Genomic DNA, 19,004 nt, shown 5'->3' on the forward strand with positions numbered 1-19,004 from the left:
AGGCAGTGTTCTGGGCCTGCTCCTTACTAGCTCTGGGGCCAGCCTCACACAAAGTGTGCCATTCACGTCTTCATTCAGTGCAAATATCTTATATGTGCCAGGCCCTGAGAACACTGGGGTGAGCGGCCCCACCAGGTCCCTGCCCTGACAGAATGCACACCCCAGTGTAGGGAGGCAGACAATGAACAGGAATGTGAATGAGAACACACAGGTATGTCCCTGTGACTTGTTTAGTCATCTATAAAATGGGACCAGCAACGTCACCAGCCCTACCCATGCAACAGGACTGTGGGACATCACAGATGGGACCTGCTGGAACTCAGGGGAAACATCATGAACTCACCCACAGCTGCCTTTGCTCTCCTTTTTTTCTTATAATAAAATGTACATAACATAAAATTTACAATTCTAACAATTTTTAAGTGGCATTGGGGACATCTACAATGTTGTGCAATCACACCATCATCCACCTCCGGAACTGTCTTATCTTCCCCAGCAGAAACTCTGTCCCAATTAAATGGTAACTCTGCATCCTCCCCTGCCACAGGTCCCTGCAGCCTCTATCTGACTTTCTGTCCCTAAGAATCTGCCTATTCTAGGTAGCTTCATATCAGTGTAAACACATCATACTACATTTGTCCTTTTGTGTATGACTTATTTGAGTGAACTTCACCTGGAAGTGGGATTGCTGGATCCCATGGTGATTCCATTTAGTGTTTAACTTATTATTTTTAATTTGTATGGATACATCAGGGTTGTACATATTTATGTGGTACATGTACTATTTTGATATATGCGTACAATGTGTAACGACCAAATTTGGGTAACTGGGATATCCATCACCCCAAACATTTGTGTTGGGAATGTTACAGATCTTCTCTGCTCGCTATTTTGAAATACATAATAGACTGTTGTGGGGTGGGGGCAGGGGGGAGGGATAGCATTAGGAGATATACCTAATGCTAAATGATGAGTTAATGGGTGCTGCACACCAACATGGCACATGTATACATATGTAACAAACCTGCACATTGTGCACATGTACCCTAAAACTTAAAGTATAATAATAAAAAAAGAAATACATAATAAATTATGGTTCACTAAAGTCACCCTACTGTGCTATGAAACACTAGAACTTATTCCTTCCACCTCTCTGTATCATTTTAACCATTGACCGATCCCTCTTCATCTCTCCTCCCTGCTACCTTCCACAGTCTCTGGTGTCTGTCATTCTACTCTTTACCTCCGTGAGATCAATGTTTTTAGCTCCCAAGTATGAGTGAGAATGTGCAATATTTGTGTTTCTGCATCAGGCTTATTTCACTTATGTGTTTGCCTTTTGAATAACTGTCATGCTGTTTTCCACAATGGATGTGCAATTTTCCATTCCCACCAGCAATGCACAGGGCTCCAGTTTCTAAACGTCCTCGCCCACTCTTGCCTTTCCCATTCTTCTGGTAGCAGCCATCCTAATGCATGTGGACTGGCCTTTTGCTCTATTCTATGCGTATTGTCAGATTGCATCCCACACGCATCCATCTCACGCCTATGTTGGTCTAAAGCGTTCATTTGTGGTGTGCTATTTCTGGACTATGCACTGTTTCTGTACTGTACACCAGCCTGTGTACCCTATACTTTAAGGGCAATGTAAGGCATTGCCAAAGTTAATCTCAACAAATTTGTAACTGTCTCTATGTTTCTTTCCTTAGAAACAGAGGTGACAGGAGCTACTAGCCTGTCTAGAAAGCTTGGTAATATGTCACTCTCAGACTAGGGATTCTGAGGGTCAGTCCCAGTGCTATCATACTGCCAATCTCTCTTGCCCCAATCTGCCTCTCCTGTGCACCCCAGAAGAGGAAGCACAAACCAGTGCCAGGGAGGACAGCAAGGCTCAGGGCAATGCACCCAAGCTTTGCTCTCATATTTATGGACCATTGTTCATTTTCAAAATAATTGGCATCAACATGAATGGGTAAAGAACAAGAGAAAATAACCCAGGGCCCTGTAATCTGTCCCTGGCCAGACTCGCCTGGTCCACATCCAATCCTCCACATACATTAACCTCAAATAATAAATAACCTAAGCCCTAGAGCAGGACACACTCACAGTATAATTCATATCTCAAAATCCAAGCAAGTGCCAAACAGCGGCCAACACTATGAATATAAATTCCAGCTTGTTCATATGCTGACATTCTAAAGTCTGACAAGAGTGAGCAAGAAGGTGTTTTTCCTAGCTAATGAGTTGAACTCCTTCAGATCTAGAATTTTTATAGAGGTGCGCTCTTGGGAACCTTGACAAGAGCTAAGAGCTTGGGAGAGGATGCCCATGTCCTTGCTAACGGATCATTTCCCTTGCTCAGCAAGTTTTCACCTCATTTTACAATCTCAGGGTGTCTGAGGTGGAAGGATGTTTGTGATGCTCATTGAACAGATGAGATCATCAAGGCCCAGAGGGTTGATCCGAGGTGAGCAGGCCCCACACCTGTCACTCCCAGGCCTGCAAGATATATTAAGGGCAGCACCTGCCATTCCTCAAATGGGAGAGTTTAATTTGAGGTCATTGACAAATCTGTTCAAAGAAACTGACATTTGAGTCCAAGCTGACTTACTTGGCAAAAAAAAAATATATATATATATATATGTATATGCACATATACATTTTTGTGTGTGTGCCAGTGTGGGGGCTGAGACATGACACCCCTTCCATAGAAATATGAAATATATCATTGTGCCGCGGAGGACCCAGAAGGAGGGGAGTCAGGAGGGACTGGAAACTGGGAGGCATGAGAAATGGCCCTGGAAGATGGCACCATGGCCAGCTCCCAGGAGCACACAGCCTCCTGCCTCAAGCATGGGCACCCCAAGCTCCTAGGACAAGAGAGAGGGAATGACCCCCAGGGAGGGCACACAGCCACCCTGAGCTGCTGCTCCACCTCTGATCCATGAGTCAAGTGTTCCTGTCACTCCAGGTCCCTCTCAGTGCCCTGGGCACCTAGACTAAAAGAGGCCCTGAGAGGATGAAGAGCTGAGTCCCATGGGCTCAGGTAGTGCCGGGGCTGTCACTTCGTGCAGACTGTGCCTCATGAGGAGCAGGGTCAGAGGGGCAAAAGTCCCCCACATCTGATGGGCTTGGGCTGGGATGCAGCAAGATCCCCCCCAGGCCCCCACTCTCCCTTTGACAGGACAAGTGGGAGAGCAGCTGGCATGGGGGCAATAAATATTTTGAGCACAGGTGCCAGCTGCTTAGGCAAGGACAGAACTTGGGACACCTTCCTGAAGGAGGCAGGGTTGGGCACAGCCCCTCAAGCTGGTGGTGAGGAGTCCCTGGCCCGAGTGCATTCCTTGCCCTAGAGAGAGATTATCCTGCCTGTTCTGCAGCAGCAAGAGAGGGCAGGCCCCAGGCAACAGGAAGGCCAGAGCAAGCCTAGTGTGGACAGGGCAGCAGTGAGGTAGAAACAGCCCCACCCCACCACTTCACAGTGACCACAGGCCCAGCACCTGCACATTCCATCTTCATTTAGCAGTGACCGCGGGCCCAGCGCTGTGCCCAGCACCCACATATTCCATCTTCATTCAGCAGTGACCATGGGCCCAGCACCATGCCCAGCACCCACATTCCATCTTCATTTAATAGTGACCATGGGCCCAGTGCCGTGCCCAACACCCACACATTCCATCTTCATTTAATAGAGACCGCGGGTCCAGCACCGTGCCCAGCACCAGTATATTCCATCTTCATTTAGCAGTGACCACGGGCCTAGCGCCATGCCCAGCACCCACACATTCCATCTTCATTTAGCAGTGATCACGGGCCCAGTGCTGTGCCCAGCACCCACATATTCCATCTTCATTTAGCAGTGACTGCGGACCCAGTACCCGCACATTCCGACTTCCTTTAGCAGATACTGGCAGGTGCCACTCCTGCTTTGCCTGCAGAGATGGTCCTTTGCTTTCCGGGCTCTAGGGACTACAGAGAGAACAAGAATGGTATGATGCTGCCTCATCTAGAAAGGGAACCCACTGTGTGTTCTGACATAGCAGTCCCCTCCCAAGGGAGCTGTGGCTGTCATTCATGTTTCAGGAACAATACCTCAAGTCAAACGGTGCCCAGGAGAAGGATGCACCTGCTGCATAGGCTTTAGTTTGCTGAAAGAAGCCAAGGCTGAGAGGGAATTAGCAACACTAGGAAGGAGAGAGGTTGGGGATGGTGGGGTTCCTTTCTGTAAGTAGCAGCAGCTTGGTCTCCCTCCTTGCAGAGAACTGAGAGAGGATAAAGACTGCTCTGTCAGGGTAATAAGCCTTCTAAAGCTAATGACTTAAATGCAGCTACTTATTATCTCCCAGTACTGCAGATTGGCAATTTGAGGCAGACTCAGCTACATGGTTCTTTGTGTGCTTCTGCTGCTGGGTGGGCAGGGGCTGACTGGTCTGGGGGGCGCCTTGCAGTTGGGCCCACAGTCTCCCTGCTCCTCCAGCCAGCTAGCCAGACTTGCTCCAGAGGCAACGGGGTGGGTTCAGGGAGAGAGAGAATGCAGGGCATGGAGGTCTTGCAGCCAGATGCAGGTCCAGAGCTGGCCCCTCATCACTCCACTATTGGCCAGAGCCAGACACAGTCCAGCCCAGATTCAGAGGGGAGAGAAGCTGCTGCAAAGCCACATTATAAAGAGTGTGGACATGGGAAGGAGAGGAGGACTGTGGCCACTTGTGCACTCTGCTGCCATAGGCCTATGAGGTGACCCAGTCACCTGCCTTCAAGAAACCTCTGGATTTGCAAAGAGGATTTCAGAATTTCAGTGTGGAATGAATGCCAGAGAGCCTCTTCTGAATGCTTAGGCCTTTTTTTCTTTCTTTCTTTCTTTTTTTTTTTTTTGAGACAATGTTTTGCTCTGTTGCCCAGGCTGGAGTGCAGTGGTGCGATCACAGCTTTCTGCAGTCTCAAGCTCCTGGGCTCAAGTGATCCTCCTGCCTCAGCCTCCCAAGTAGCTGAGACCACAGGCACATGCCACCATGCCCAGCTAATTTTTTTAAACTTTTTGTAGAGACAGTGTCTCACTATGTTGCCCAGGCTGGTGTTGAACTCCTGAACTCAAGCAATCCTCCTGCCTCAGTCTCCCAAAGTGCTGGGATCATACAGGTGTGAGCCACTATGCCCAGCCATGCTTGAACCATTTAGAACTCTTGATACTTGCTCAGCTGGACAGAGTGCATTGTCTTCCACCAGCTCAGTGATTGGAAATTAGAGCAGTTATCTAATTTGGAGAATGGGACAATTTTTATACTCAAGTGTTTATAAACTAAAATGCATACCCATTAAAAACAGATAACCTGACCTAGGCTAAGAGAAGCTGAGTGACTTGACCAAGGTCATGCAGCTGGTAAATAGCTGAAACTGACCAGCCCACCCACCCTGCTTTTAACAACCACATGACATGATACTATGGGTGCCTGTATCTCAGGAAGAGTGGCCCACTGACATTGGAAGCCACAAAGTGAACCTCAGCAGCTGAGAGCTGCAGAGAGGGTATCTTGTGAGAAGTATTGGCTGCCCATCAGGAAGAGCGGCGTCCAGGAGCAGAGCCTTCAGTTTCTGCACTGGGGAGCTGCTGCTGCTACCTCACCAACCTTCCCAACCCGGGACCTGGAAGGCACATGTGGCCACTGTGTTGTCATACCTGTGTTAAAAACAAAAATTAATCGGGAGGCCATTGGGCTGAGGCAGCTGCAGTGCCTCCAACTCCTTCGTTAGCAATCCACAAGCCGACTCAGCATAAACAGTCATATTCTAGGCCTATCAGAAACTGCTGACTAACCCCTAACTGGCGACTTTCTACTAGTTAAGCTTAACCAATCAGAAACCACCAACTACTCTCTAACTGGGGACTTTCCACTGGAATGATCCGAATGAAATTACTATTCACTGTAAACAAGCATGTATTTTCTTTGCCTTGCTCCCACCTCCACCTTGTAAAAGCCTTCCTCTCGCATGCCTTCCTCAGGGCCCTAACTTCTTTCTATCTGGCACTGCCCAATTCGTGAGTTGCTCAAGAAAATCTCTTTAATATTTTAATATGTGCCTCAGTTTATCTTTGAACACCTGCAAGTGCTGAGGAGTGGTCCCTTCTTGATTCCTTTGTCTGGTTTTTCTCTGTGGGTTATACAGAACTGCAAGAGCAAAAAGATAAACTAGGAAAATCATTCTGTAAGCTATCAAAATATGTGTCCTAGATCTTTATTTTTAAAAATAATCTCTAAAGCCAACCCAGACCTACACGGGCCACCTCTGGGGCAACTCTCAGGTCTCATGTGTGGGGCTCAAGCCTTACTTCTGCCACAGGTTTCCTTGAGGCTCACAAATAAGAGCCAGTTTGCAAACAACAAAGGATGCAAAGGAAGGCTTACTGAGCACTGTCATGCCTTGGAGTTTAAAAACGACAATACCACCCTAGAGATGGTGGGGCTGAGCCCAGGGACTGTACACAGCCAGCAAGAGACAGCACCACAGCCCGTGGTGCCAGGGTTTCAACCCTGCTGTGCTTCAGTACAATCACCTGGGGACTTTTACCACCTGCAATGCTCAGGCCCCCTCCCCAGAGACTCTGGCTTATGGCACGGGGGCAGCCTGCTTTATTATTTTTTTAAATGTTTCCCAGTTGATATTAATGTGCAGCCAGGACTAAGAGCCACTTTTAGACAAGTAGTATTCAACTCAACATTGCCTGCACATTGTGTACACATTGAAATTACCTGGGGAGCCTTAGAAAAGGTACTAAGACTGGGTCCCACCTCACTCATTCTGATGGAATTGGTTTGAGGTGTGACCTGGGCATCAGGACTTTTGAAAGCTCCCAGGTGATTCCTATGGGCAGTCAAGTGTGAGGCCCAATGTCTTAAGTGACACTTAGGTGAAGAATGGATCTGGGATTCTCAGAAAAGTTTTTGTTTGCTTGTTTTTTGTTTGTTTTGAGACAGAGCCTCGCTCTGTTGCCCAGGCTGGAATGCAGTGGCATAATCGCAGCTCACTACAACTTCCACCTCCCAGGGTCAAGCAATTCTCCTGCCTCAGCCTCCCCAGTAGCTGGGACTACAGGCACACACCACCACACCCAGCTAATTTTTGTATTTTTAGTAGAGACAGAGTTTCACCATGTTGGCTAGGCTGGTCTTGAACTCCTTACCTCAAGTGATCTGCCCACCTTGGCCTTGCAAAGTGCTGGGACTACAGCAATGAGCCACTGCACAATCTGGAAGTCCCCCCGCCACCTGGGTGCTTGCTAACCCCAAGGAGTTCCATGCACGTCATCCTCCAAGGTCAAGATCTCTGGCCATGGAGACAGCCCCACATGCAGAGAAGCCCTGCAGCTGGCACCACAAAGCTCAGGCTGCCCAGGTCCTGCATGCAGCTGTCTTGAGGCTCCTCCCCTGCAGTCCTGCCTTCCTCCATCCCTGTCTGAGCCAGGAGCCAGGCAGGCTTCCCTGGAGACCCTGCCAAAGGCTTTTCACTTCCTGCTGGTCGATTTTCTGGGTCATGTTACCTTTTCAGGGCATTAGCAGCCTGGCTTCTGAGGAAATTGAGCTACCCGTCCTCTGGGGGTGGCACAAAGTGACTGGGAGGCACCAGCAGTCTAAAAAGAACTCCTTGGGCCAAGCACGATGCAGAGGGCCCTACCTGCAGTTTCCCTGATGGGCCCACCAGAACCAAAGCAAGAGAAGCAGGGTGGCTGTTCTGGAGCAAAGAATCTCATCAGAATCTCCTAGAGGGTTTGTGAAACCAAGACTGCTGGGCCCCACCCCAGAGTTTGTGATTCAGTGGGTCTGGATGGGGCCATAATTTGTCTTTCTAACAGGTTCCTGATTGGGCTGATGCCGTTGGTCCTGGGAGCCTCCTTGTAGAACCGCCGGCCTGGGCTGCTGCTTTCTACTTTCCCACAGTGTAGCTTTTTCTCTGACATGAGCATTCTCTGCAAGTCTAACCAAAGCACTCTGACTTCTTGTGCTGAACTTCCCCACCCCAATCTTCAGCAGAGGCAGAGTGTGTGGAGGAAGGATGGAGAGCAGATGGGGCAGAATAGCGTCCAGGTCCTAATCCCCGGCACCTGTGAGTGTTGTGTTGCTGTATAAAGGGAATTCAGGCTGCAGACAGAATTAAGGCTGCTAACCAGCTGACCTGAAGATACAGCAACTGACTAGCCTGGGTCATCCAGGTGGGCCCATTGTAATTACAATGGCACTCCCTTCCCAGTTGGAAGAAAGAGAGGAGCAAAGAAGTAGAGACTCACAGGTGAGAGGGACTGGGTCACATTTGCTGGTTTGAAGACAGAGAAAAGCTGCAAACAAAGGAATGTGGGCCCTTCGAGAAGCTGGGAACAGCCCTACCCTGACAGACAGCAAGGAAAACAGGGACCTCTGTCCTACAGGCACAAGGAACTATCTCTACCCACAGCCTGAATCAGCAAGGAAACAGGAAAAGCAAAAAGGCAGAGGAAAAGTGAGAGCCTGGCTTTTAAAGTTGGGAACATACAGACAGGAGCTGACTCAGTAGGGTCAGAGCTGGGCGCATCAGCCCACATGGAAGGTCATGGGGGCATGCCCTCTGCCCCAAACTCAGAATCGCTTGCCAGCAGCTCAGAGAGGTAGCCTGGCCTCTCCCAAAACCCCCAGCAGCAGGGATCTCACCATGCTCCAGGTCGTTCAGGTCATCAGTTCCCGGCTCGCACTGATGGAACTGCTGGAAACTTCTCAGCAGAGAAAGCTTTGAGTCTGCTGCTGCAAGGCTCATAATCACTAACATGGGCCCATGTTTCCAGCAAGACTCAGACAAGCACTTCAGTGGCTGTGGGTGGCACGGGCTGGCATGATCCTGGGCTGATTTCATCCTCTTGGGTGCTGAGGCCTCCCATTTGTGACTTGGGGTGATTCCTGAAAACACCTTCTCTGAGAAGCCTCCCTGGGTCAGCTCAGCCTGCTTATTTCTCCCTTATGGCACTCAATTCATGTAGCCTTTATTGCTGTGAACTGTACAGGGCCTCATTCTTTTCTGCAGTATCTGTAGTGAGACATCCAGGTATAAGCACTCTGAATATTTCTGTTGGCACACAGATGATTCCAGTATTTAGGTTAAATAAATCATTATTTAGCAACATGCATGTTAACTTTTTATGGTAAGGAAATGTTTTTCTGTATATGCATAAAAATACATCTAAAAGGATGTATTTTAGTATATTAAAATCTGGATGGGGAGGTAGTATTTTCTTAATGTTTATGCCTGTTTCTTTTTTTTAAATACTTTTTTATTTTTTTCAAAGTAATACATGCACTGAGTTTAAAAAGCCAAGAAACAGTGAGTCTTAAAAAGACAAAGAAAAACAACAGTAACACAAAGCAGTCCCATTTCACCCATTCCACCCCCAGTTCTCCCCAAAGACAAACATTGTCATTAACACTTCTAGGAAATTCTTCTCATCTTCACTTTCATATTTTTGGTACTATATTCATGTTGCAATTTTTAATTGATTAGCTGTAGGCATTAACTTTTGAATTCCCCATCACTAACCCTCTTCCCATCTTCCTAACACATAATCACTTTGAAGACTCCTTTTGTTCAGTTTTGGGAAATTTTCTTGCATTACGCTTTGAAGCTTTCCTCCCCCCGTTCTGTTTCTGGAACTCTTGTAGGTCAGGAGACTGGCCTTGAGAATAAACCCTATAATTTGTTTTATTCTTTCGCTTCTATTTCCCTTTGTCTTTTTGTTCTACTTGATTTTAGCTTCTAACCATTCTGTTGCTTTCTTGTTTTATTTTATTTGGGTTTTTTAATTTTTTGCCTGTCTTTAATTTTGAGGTTCTTGTGGTCTGGTTACTTTTCATGGTATTCTGTCCTTGTTTTATAGATGTAACATCTTCTCATATATCACTCAGTATAGTAACTGTAGGGTATATTATTTTTTTAAGTTTTCTGTATGTGTCCTACATTGGCTGCACTGCCCTCTCCAGGTCCCCTTTTTCCGTTTGTCCTGGTTTCTGTGCTTCATGTTGGATCCTTTCCTCAAATACCAGCTGACTTTGGGCTGTCCTCATACCTAGGACAATGCCCTGAAAAACTGATTGAAATTATTACACGTGAGTGTTGAAGATTTCAAAGACTTATTGGCTTCACCAGGGGGTCATAGAATTTTTGGTCCCGCAAATGTTAGTATCCCTGTATTAGTCCATTTTCACACTGCTGATGAAGACATACCCAAGACTGGGCAATTTACAAAAGAAAGAGGTTTACTGGACTTACAGTTCCACATGGCTGAGGAGGCCTCACAATCATGGCAGAAGGCAAGGAGGGGCAAGTCACATCTTATGTGCATGGCAGCAGGCAAAGAGAGAGCTTGTGCAGGGAAACTCCCATTTTTAAAACCACCAGATCTCATGAGACTCATTCACTATCATAAGAACAGCGCAGGAAAGACCCACCCCCATAATTCAATCACCTCCTGCTGGGTTCCTCTCACAACGTATGGGAATTATGGGAGTTACAATTCAAGATGCGATTTGCGTGGGGACACAGCCAAACCATATCCCTGTCTTTTCTGGGGTTACTGACACTCTCTAGGAAGAGTCCTCTAACTGCCTGGGATAGAGGTACCTGCTGCTGTTCTGGGGACGGGGACTGAAGAGCCACTAGTTGGCACAAGTCTGGCTTCAGTCCCCATCTCCATCCTCTGTGTCACCCAGCCTGCCAAGGCCTGGCCCGTCACCACTCAGTTCATCTGGAGAATAAATCTCTGGTCTGCATTGGATGGGGAAGCAGGAGAAGGGCAGGGAGGGGGCAGGGAGGAGAGGAGGGATGGGGGTCCCCAGATTGGGTGGGGTGGGAGGAGATTGGGGTCCGACTGCTCTAGAGGCAGACTTTCAGCTATCCCCTCATTTTCAGCCCCAAACCCAATCTCTGCTCCTTAATTCCTGGTGTTTCTGGGTGCAAAGCCCTTCAGGTGGGCTCAGGTGAAACACTCATTGCTCACAGGAACAGCCCACTGCAGGCAGAACCCTCCTGTGTTCCACAAGATCAGTTACCCCCCAACCCTTCACCAGAATTCCTGTCTGCTCTTATCTGTGTCCCCAGAATGAACATTTTTTAAATTCTCACTTTCTTTTTTGGTGGGGAAGAGCCAAATGCCGATCACTGAGCAGCTATATGTATCTGGAAGTCCCTGTGTTTTCAAAAATAAGCCTGTTTTTTGTTTTGTTTTTCAGTTATGCCAGGAAGTGTGTATTTTTGCTATGTGGATTGGCAATTGGTTGATGGCGGGCGAATGAACAGAGCCAAATGAATAAAACACAATTTTAACACTTAGGGAAGTTACAAATGACTTTTACTGACTAAATTCTCATTTTTCCTGATAGAACTTTAGCCATCTTTTGAGAATTAATTTAAACTGAAAAAATCAAATGTTCAGAGACATTATTATAAAAAGCACTGACACAGATGGGAGGTTGTAGCTTCCCTCCAAAGTCTACTCCAGCCCTACACCCCTTGAAGAGCACAGCCCAGCCCTCACAGAGGATCCTTTGTGCTTTCTCCTGGGCCAGCCCCTTGCCCCTGGAGGCTCTGATTAATGAGGAAACCCTTTTCTCACAGCAAGAGCAGAGGGGGACCCTGTCCACAGACACTCGGTGCCTTCGCCTGAAATATTGCTTCCTCTGCATGTTGGAATCCGTTCCTGGAGGCATTGGGGACTTAACCTCTTGAATGCTGTGTACTTAGTCCCCTGGGTCTCTGGGGAGGACTGACGTCAGACACCAATTTACAGAAATCTGCCTTCATCTAGAAGGCCAGGCCCAGGAAGGTTCAGACTCTACCGTGACCAGACATTGTAAATCTGCCTCACGACAGCTCATCCCAGGAGACAGAGCTACCCAGCAGGGCCGTGTGAAGGACGTCCAATGAGCTTGTGCAGCAAAGAGGTGATCCCTGGCCTGACCCCAGCTGGCATGGCAATCTCTCACTCTGTCAGTGCCCTGTTTCAAGGAGGCTTAGGTGAAATGGAGCTCATGGTGATAAAGATCTCAGCTTCAGTGACTCACGAGGATCTGAAGGGTTCAACTACCTCTTTGTGAACAGAAAAACCAATGCTCAAAAAGTGTGGCTGCACAAGCTCCCACTGACCCTTAGCTCCAATCAGGATTCACCCCCAGGTAATCTGGCTCAAAAACCACTGCACCATCCCCCTACCAGAAATCAGGTGGCAAATGACAGCTGCTAAGGCCCCCATATGTGCTGCAGGGGGAGCAGAGCCAACTGTTCTGCAGCCCCATTGTGGAGCAGGTATCTCACTCCATCCCGCACAGACCAATGCCCAGTGGACTAGGCAGTTCTAATGCCCTGGAAGCTAAAGATAGACTTGCTGGGCAATGGTCAGGAGAATCATGCACAATAACAGGGCCTCTCTGCTTTGCTGGGAACACAAGCCCTGCGCGTACTCTAGATACTGCCCACAGTGTGAGGCAGGAAGCAGGGACTGCATCTAACTCAGAGAAGAAGGGAGAAGTGAGGGACAAAGGTGAACCTGAAAATGTATCCACTGCACCCTGTTCCACAGTTGGGTGTGTGGCTTTACCTGCTTCATGGATGTTGGCCAATTGATTCTACAGAAAAGAATCTAAATAAAAGAGCCCCCTTGGACAAGCCTCCTGCATTCATTCCATCATCTACCACCTCTGATTTTACAAATCTTCCCAGCTGGTGGGAAATGTCAGCATTAATTTAGGGAATTCAAATACAAAGGGGCTGGGCACGGTGGCTCGTGCCTGTAATCCCAGCACTTTGTGAGGTCAAGGCGGGAGGATCATTTGAGCCCAGGAGTTTGAGACCAGTCTGGGCAACATGGCAAAACCCCGTCTCTACTAAAAATAAAAAATAAAATAGTCAGATGTGGCAGCACGCACCTGTAGTCCCAGCTACTTGGGAGGCTGAGGTGGGAGAATCACCTGAACCCAGGATGCAGGCGCTGCAGTGAGCCAAGATAGAGCCACTGCACTCCAGCCTGGGTGACAGAGAGAGACTCCATCTTAAAAAAAAAAAAATACAAAGAGATGAGTGCTGGGGGCTGGAGGGCAGGTAACTCACTCTGACTGTAAGGATCAACAACTGTCGGGGGGTGACTGATCTGGACTTTGGATAATGTGTGTAATGATGATGAGAAGAAGAGAATGTTGAGGGAAAAAAGGAGAAGGAGGAAACAAAAGAATAAGGAGAACATGACAAAGGTAAAAGGAAAGCATTTGAAGCATTTGTCTGCATGGCCTGGGAGTCAGTCTGGAGGAGAAGGAGAAGGATGGAAGGTGGAAGATAGAGAGGTGGTGCGGGGGAAGCTTGTAGAAAGCCTGGGATCTGGACAAAGGAACTCAGACTTTAGGCAATGGAAAATCTCTGGGAGTCTTAAGCAGGGCTGTAATTGTGAAGACCTGCTGTTTCCAAAGTGAATTCCAGCAGTTGGAGGACAGATTGGAGAGGGATGATGCTGGAGGCTGGGAGGCTCATTAGGAGACTGGGGCAGCATCTGTACAAGAAATGAGAGGGATGGGAGCCACAGATGAGAGATGGCAGATGTGGAGCAATGAGGATGAGGATTGGCAGAACGGAAGAGGAAGAAATATTGTCAAAACTTATTTTGTTTCCAGATTTGGTGGCAAGGGTAATAATTAAACCAGTGGCCAAGATGTAAAGTCCAGGAAGCGGAAAGGAATTGAGGTGGAAAGATGGTTTGATTTGGAATACATTGAGTGTGACAGAGAGGTGACCAATAGGCAGGTGGAAATGGAGCTCATGGCGGAGGAGAAATGCTGGTGTAAATCCTTGCTAGGAACAGTCCTTGTGCTTATGGTGCTCAGGCCACAGAGCCCCTTAGCAATAACCAGGAAGAGAGCGGAGAGTGGATGGGAGAGAGAGGGTTGCAAATGATGCCTCGGTCTATTGCTGAGTGACAGATTACCCTGACACCTGGTAACTTGAAACAACAAGCATCTATTATCTCACAGTTTCTCAGGGTACCTGGGAGCAGCTTAGCTGGGTAGCTCTGGCTCAAGGCCTTTCATGAGGTTGTAGCCATGCTGTCAGCTGGGGCTGCCATAATCTGAAGGTTCAACTGGGGCTGGGGCATCAGCCTTTAAGCTCCCTAACATGGCAGCTGCTGGCAAGAGCCCTCTGTTCCTCACTGCATGGGCCTCTCTGCAGGGCTCCCCATGGAGGCAACTGGCTTCCCCCTAAGAGAGCAACCCATGAGTGAGAGAGTGACCAAGGTCTTATCTTTTATAACTCAACACTTGGACTATTGCTACCACTTCTGCTGTGCTCAGTCCTATAGGCAAACCCAGGTATAATGTGGGAGGGGACCACATAAGGATGTGAATAACAGGAGGGTGGTTCATTGAAGGCTGCCAACCACAGATCACCAACCCAGGAAACAGCACAGAAAGGTGAGTCTGTAAAGCATGCACAGAAAAAAGAAAGAATGCAAGCCCCATTGCGTGTAGGATGTTTACCAGAGAATAATATATATGGGAGATTGTCCAGAAGGACAGGGTGGTTTCAAATGCTAAAAAGTCCAGGCAATGGGAACTGAATGAGCATGGAAATTAGGCCACTGGACTTGGTGACCAGCTTCTAGACTGGCATGGCCAGCCACAGTGCTACAAAAGCAGGTAAAAGCCACCTCTTGGCAGATGGAGAAGTGGGTGGAAAATGAAGACATAATGGAAGGTGCTGGTAAAAGTAAACCACTTTCCAGAGTGTTGGTGGTGATGTGAGGAGAGACTGAGAGTAGTTTGCAGGGGAAAGCTGTTCTGTACACAAAAGCTTTGGCTGGTGGGAAGAGGTAGAGGGGAAAATTGGAAGACATGGGACAGAGACTTAATTGATGATCTAGAGTCCCAGAGGACATATGAGGTCAGTGATTGGAAGCACAAGCTGAGATAATTAACTCCCCTTCCTCTAGTGGCAGGAAAGGACAGGTGAGGGATGGTTGAAAGGGATGCGAGAGGTATGCGGGCTGCTCGTCTGAGGGTCTCTATTTTCTTCTGCTGACGTTGAGTTGAGGGATGAGGTAGTGGAGGGGGTTCAGAAGAAATAAAAGGCTTAGGTTAGCTCTGGTGACTTGTCTCCAGGGACAGCCACTGGCGTTGAGTAATGCCCATGACCTTCCTGCTGTGTTGTGGAAATTTCCTCACCCCACAGCTGAAGAGTAACACACACCCCTGTTTCATCCTCCCCCGACTTCTCATGCTCCCCAGAGCCACCCAGGCATTTGGCATTTGTGTGCTACTGTCAATGGTGCACAATTTATGTCCATCCCCTACAGCTGGGAATGTCTACAAAGCATCTATTTATATTAATAGAAGCTCCAGTCAAGGCTGGGAGACTTGTGGTCTTGACTGCTGGGGGAGCTTATTCGCCTGGACCACCTGGAAGGAAGATGATGGGAGCCTTCCCCAAATCCATCATCAGCTCTGCAGATCTAGGAACAGTGAGATCAACACCTCTGCCTCTAGTCCTCCCAAATCATCTGCCCCGAGGCTGTGCAGACGGTCTCTTCTCACTAGGCAGCTCTAATGCCTGAGGTACCTATGAAACCAGAGTGGCAGCAGAGGGTCAAGCCTTGGGCAAGTCCACTTAACCTCACATGACCCTGCTCCCTCATCTGTAAAATGGGAAGAATAGGGTTGTTCATATATCATTTAGCGCAATACCTGGAATGCATTTAATGTTAAGCAAACACTAACTGTTTTTCACAAGCCCTGGAGGTCAGACATGACTGACTGCCAAGGGACTTGATTATAGGTTTATTGAGTCTGTCTTCCTACTGCTCCCGCACATAGACACTTTGCTTAGTGTACAGTGAAATGAAACAATATGGTGAATATGGGCTTTGGATGAGCCCATCATTCCAAAGAAAAGCTACTCCCTTTACCCCAATTTTCCATGGCCAGGGGGCCAGGCTGTGTCCCCAGTTTGGAGTGTTGGTTCAGTAGGTGGAATCCTATAACAAAACCTATGCAGGATTTGTCAGGGTGGCCAGTTTTCTTTGTTCCCTTATGATATTAGCTTCCATTTCCTGGCACCCTCTCTAGACACAGTATATCTGACCCAGTAAGACAACTTCTAGACCCATTTTACAGATGAGGAAATTAGGACCGAGAGAGTAACGAATTTCCCAGGCCACACAGCTGCTAACTGCAAAGCCGGGCTTTGCTCCCCTCCTGTCCCCTCCCCTCCCCTCCCCTCCTCTCCCCTCCCCTCGCGCCTCTTCTGGCCTCCTTCCCTTCATACATGGCTGCTCTTCCTGACCAAACACCCAAGGACCATGGACAAGAAAGAACCAGCAGAGGGGGAAGCCCCAGCTCTGGTCCTTTGTATGCTGGGTTCCAGCAGAGATTGTCTTCCAGAAGTCCTTTTCAACTTCTCAGCGCTTTCAGGGTTCTTTCAGGAATTGCGGATGCCCAGAATCACAGACTCCTGGGTCCAAATGGTTGAGTCAGTGTGTGAGAACTGTCCGGGACATCCTTCCCAACCCAGCACCCAAATGGGCTCCAGGTCGTCACTACCTCCTGCAGCAGCTCAGCCTAACACCAAGTGGCGGGTTGCTGGAGCATCTTCCCCTACTTTGAGCTAAAAGCTCCCCTACCCAGCTTCCCCTCACTAGCCCAGATTTGGACTCCTTAAGATGCAATGGCAATTGTGCTTTCTTTGTGTAATATCTACATTGCACCATTTTCCCCAGGCAGCTGGGCCCCTGTCCACTCTGCTTCATGAATGCTGTAACTTGAGACTCCCTTCTCAGAGTACTTTTCCGCACTCGGCTGGTTTCCACCTCCCTCACTGCCTTGGGGCTCTCTGTCCTTCCCTCTGTCCTCCCCCGTCTCACAGCCTGTTAGAAGCAGAGCTCCCCGGGCGTTCGCTGATTTCTCCAGGAAATGCCCCTTCTCTTTTACCTCTGGGTCCATTAGCAACTGCTGGGTCAGACATGGATGTCTGGGGCTTCACCACCTTCTCTTCCAACTTCTATTTTAGGGTGTGGCCTTTGGTTCCTGGCAACCTCTTCTCTAACTCCGGAGAGGTCTAAGGAGCACACCCGCCCAGCCAGACCTCCCCCTCCTCCGGGGGCTCCACAGATGGGCTTAGATGGTAGTAGAGGAGTTGGAAGTTCCACCAGAGCCCTCTTTGCGGGTTCTTCAAGAGGGACTTTCTCTGGGGTTCCTCCATATTTTGTTTTTTGCCACAGGCCCTACTTTCTTTCCACTGTCACCCAACACCCTCCTCTTCCCTCCCTCTTATGGGGGCAGTCCCAGGATAACCCTCGGCCTTGTTAGTTCTCAGCTCCCCTAACCTGAGCCCAGTGTACAGAAAAAAAAGCCTCCTGCGGAAAAGGACGTGGGGAGAGCACAGCTCAGACACAGTCCACCGTCAGCACAATGCTCTTAGCTCTAACTGGAAGCCGACATCACCCATTTGACAATTAAGAACAGGTAAGTTTAGCAGCTCCAAAACGTCCCCCACTGCCCAGTGCTGCTCCTGTCTCATGGGCCAGGACCTGAGCTGGTGATGGCCTTGGCTGAGCCCTGCCACAACAGGAGACAGCTGGCCACCCTGAGCAGGTGCATCCAAAGGGAGGGAGTGCAGCTGGTCCTCTCCCTCTTGTTAAAAGCAAGAGAGGCTTTCCCAGAAGCTCCTCAGCACACACCCTGTCTGGGCTATTTGACCAGAACTGGGTCACACCCTCTCATTCCTAAAGTAGTCTCTGGGAAAGGGAGACAGTAGACTAACCTGTGGACTGAACAGTCCCTGCCAAGCCAGGCCCGGAAGGAATTCGTATCTTCTGAGCAGGTGACCATCAGATACAAAAAAAAATAAGTGGCTGTTGGCCAGCAAGAAGCAAGTGAGCACTGTGGGCCAGCCAGAGCTTCCCGACCCATGCAAATCAAGGGTTCCTAAAGGACAGGGAGCTGCCATCGCTGCTGAAGCCCAGCCCCCGCAGCTCCATCTGTGCAATTCAGCATATGCCACAGAGACCGGAACACCTGCATTTGGGGGAGTGGGTGTGTGTGGTGTCAAGATATGTCAAAGTTTAAGAAGATTGAAGTTGATAGTCTGCTAATAGAAAACAACTAACCCAGGAAATAAATATGTAAATCATACACTCATAAACTTGATCTTGAAGATCACACGAGCACAGAAGTTCCTAAACTCATTCAAGGCGGAAAAATACAAAAAACGGTAATCTTTATGGAATGCCATGATTCTTGATCAAATTAATCAATCAAATTAAAATAATTTTAATAGCAAAAAATATCTATTCATTATATATGTTGAGGGTGTATCATCCTCAAGCAAGAAACATGCAAGCCAGGCATGGTGCACACCTGTGGTCCCGGCTACTCAGGAGGCTGAGGTGGAAGGATCGCCTGAGCCTGGGAGGTTGAGGCCACAAAGATTGTGCCACTGCACTCCATCCTGGGCAACAGACAAGACCTTGTCTCAAAAAAAAAAAAAAAAAGAAAAGAGGAAAGAAAGGAAGGGGAAGGGGAAGGAGAAGGGGAGGGAGGGGAGGGGAAGGGAGGGGAGGGAAGGGCCAAACTAATTGTTCTTGAGTTTTCCGTTATTATTGGCAGACCTTGGCTTTCCATGGTTCAACTTAGGATGGTGTGAAAATGATGTACATTCAGTAGAAATTGTACTTTAAATTTTGGATTTTGATGTTTTCCTGGGCTAGCAACATGCCCTACAATATATTCTTACATGAGCTACTCCACACTTTATAACATAAACCTTGTGTTAGATGATTTTGCCCAACCATAAACTAAGTGTTCTGAGCACATTTAAGTAGGCCAGGCTAAGCTCTGATGTTCAGTAGGTTGGTTGGATTAAGTGCATTTTTAACTTAAAATATTTTCAATGTCTGATGGGTTTTTTGGGACATAACCCCATCATAAGTTGAGGAGCATGTGTATTGGGTTTGCTTGGAG

At 48.3% G+C, this 19,004-nt stretch overlaps 1 long non-coding RNA gene across 1 annotated transcript in view, besides 2 other annotated features; it reads right to left on the reverse strand.

Annotated features, from left to right (window-relative positions):
• TMEM72-AS1 (TMEM72 antisense RNA 1) overlaps positions 1-19,004 on the reverse strand; it is a 148,666-nt gene that overhangs the window by 80,418 nt on the left and 49,244 nt on the right. The gene's annotated exons all lie outside the window — the stretch shown is intronic.
• Positions 16,997-17,497: an enhancer, noted in NCBI's record as "H3K4me1 hESC enhancer chr10:45403886-45404386 (GRCh37/hg19 assembly coordinates)". NCBI's record gives its function as "activates a minimal SCP1, AML or CMV promoter by ChIP-STARR-seq in primed H9 embryonic stem cells {active_cell/tissue: H9 hESC(primed)}" and the evidence as "EXISTENCE:reporter gene assay evidence [ECO:0000049][PMID:30033119]".
• Positions 17,498-17,998: an enhancer, noted in NCBI's record as "H3K4me1 hESC enhancer chr10:45404387-45404887 (GRCh37/hg19 assembly coordinates)". NCBI's record gives its function as "activates a minimal SCP1, AML or CMV promoter by ChIP-STARR-seq in primed H9 embryonic stem cells {active_cell/tissue: H9 hESC(primed)}" and the evidence as "EXISTENCE:reporter gene assay evidence [ECO:0000049][PMID:30033119]".

This window comes from Homo sapiens, chromosome 10 (assembly GCF_000001405.40).
Source record: "Homo sapiens chromosome 10, GRCh38.p14 Primary Assembly".
Lineage (NCBI taxonomy): Eukaryota > Metazoa > Chordata > Mammalia > Primates > Hominidae > Homo > Homo sapiens.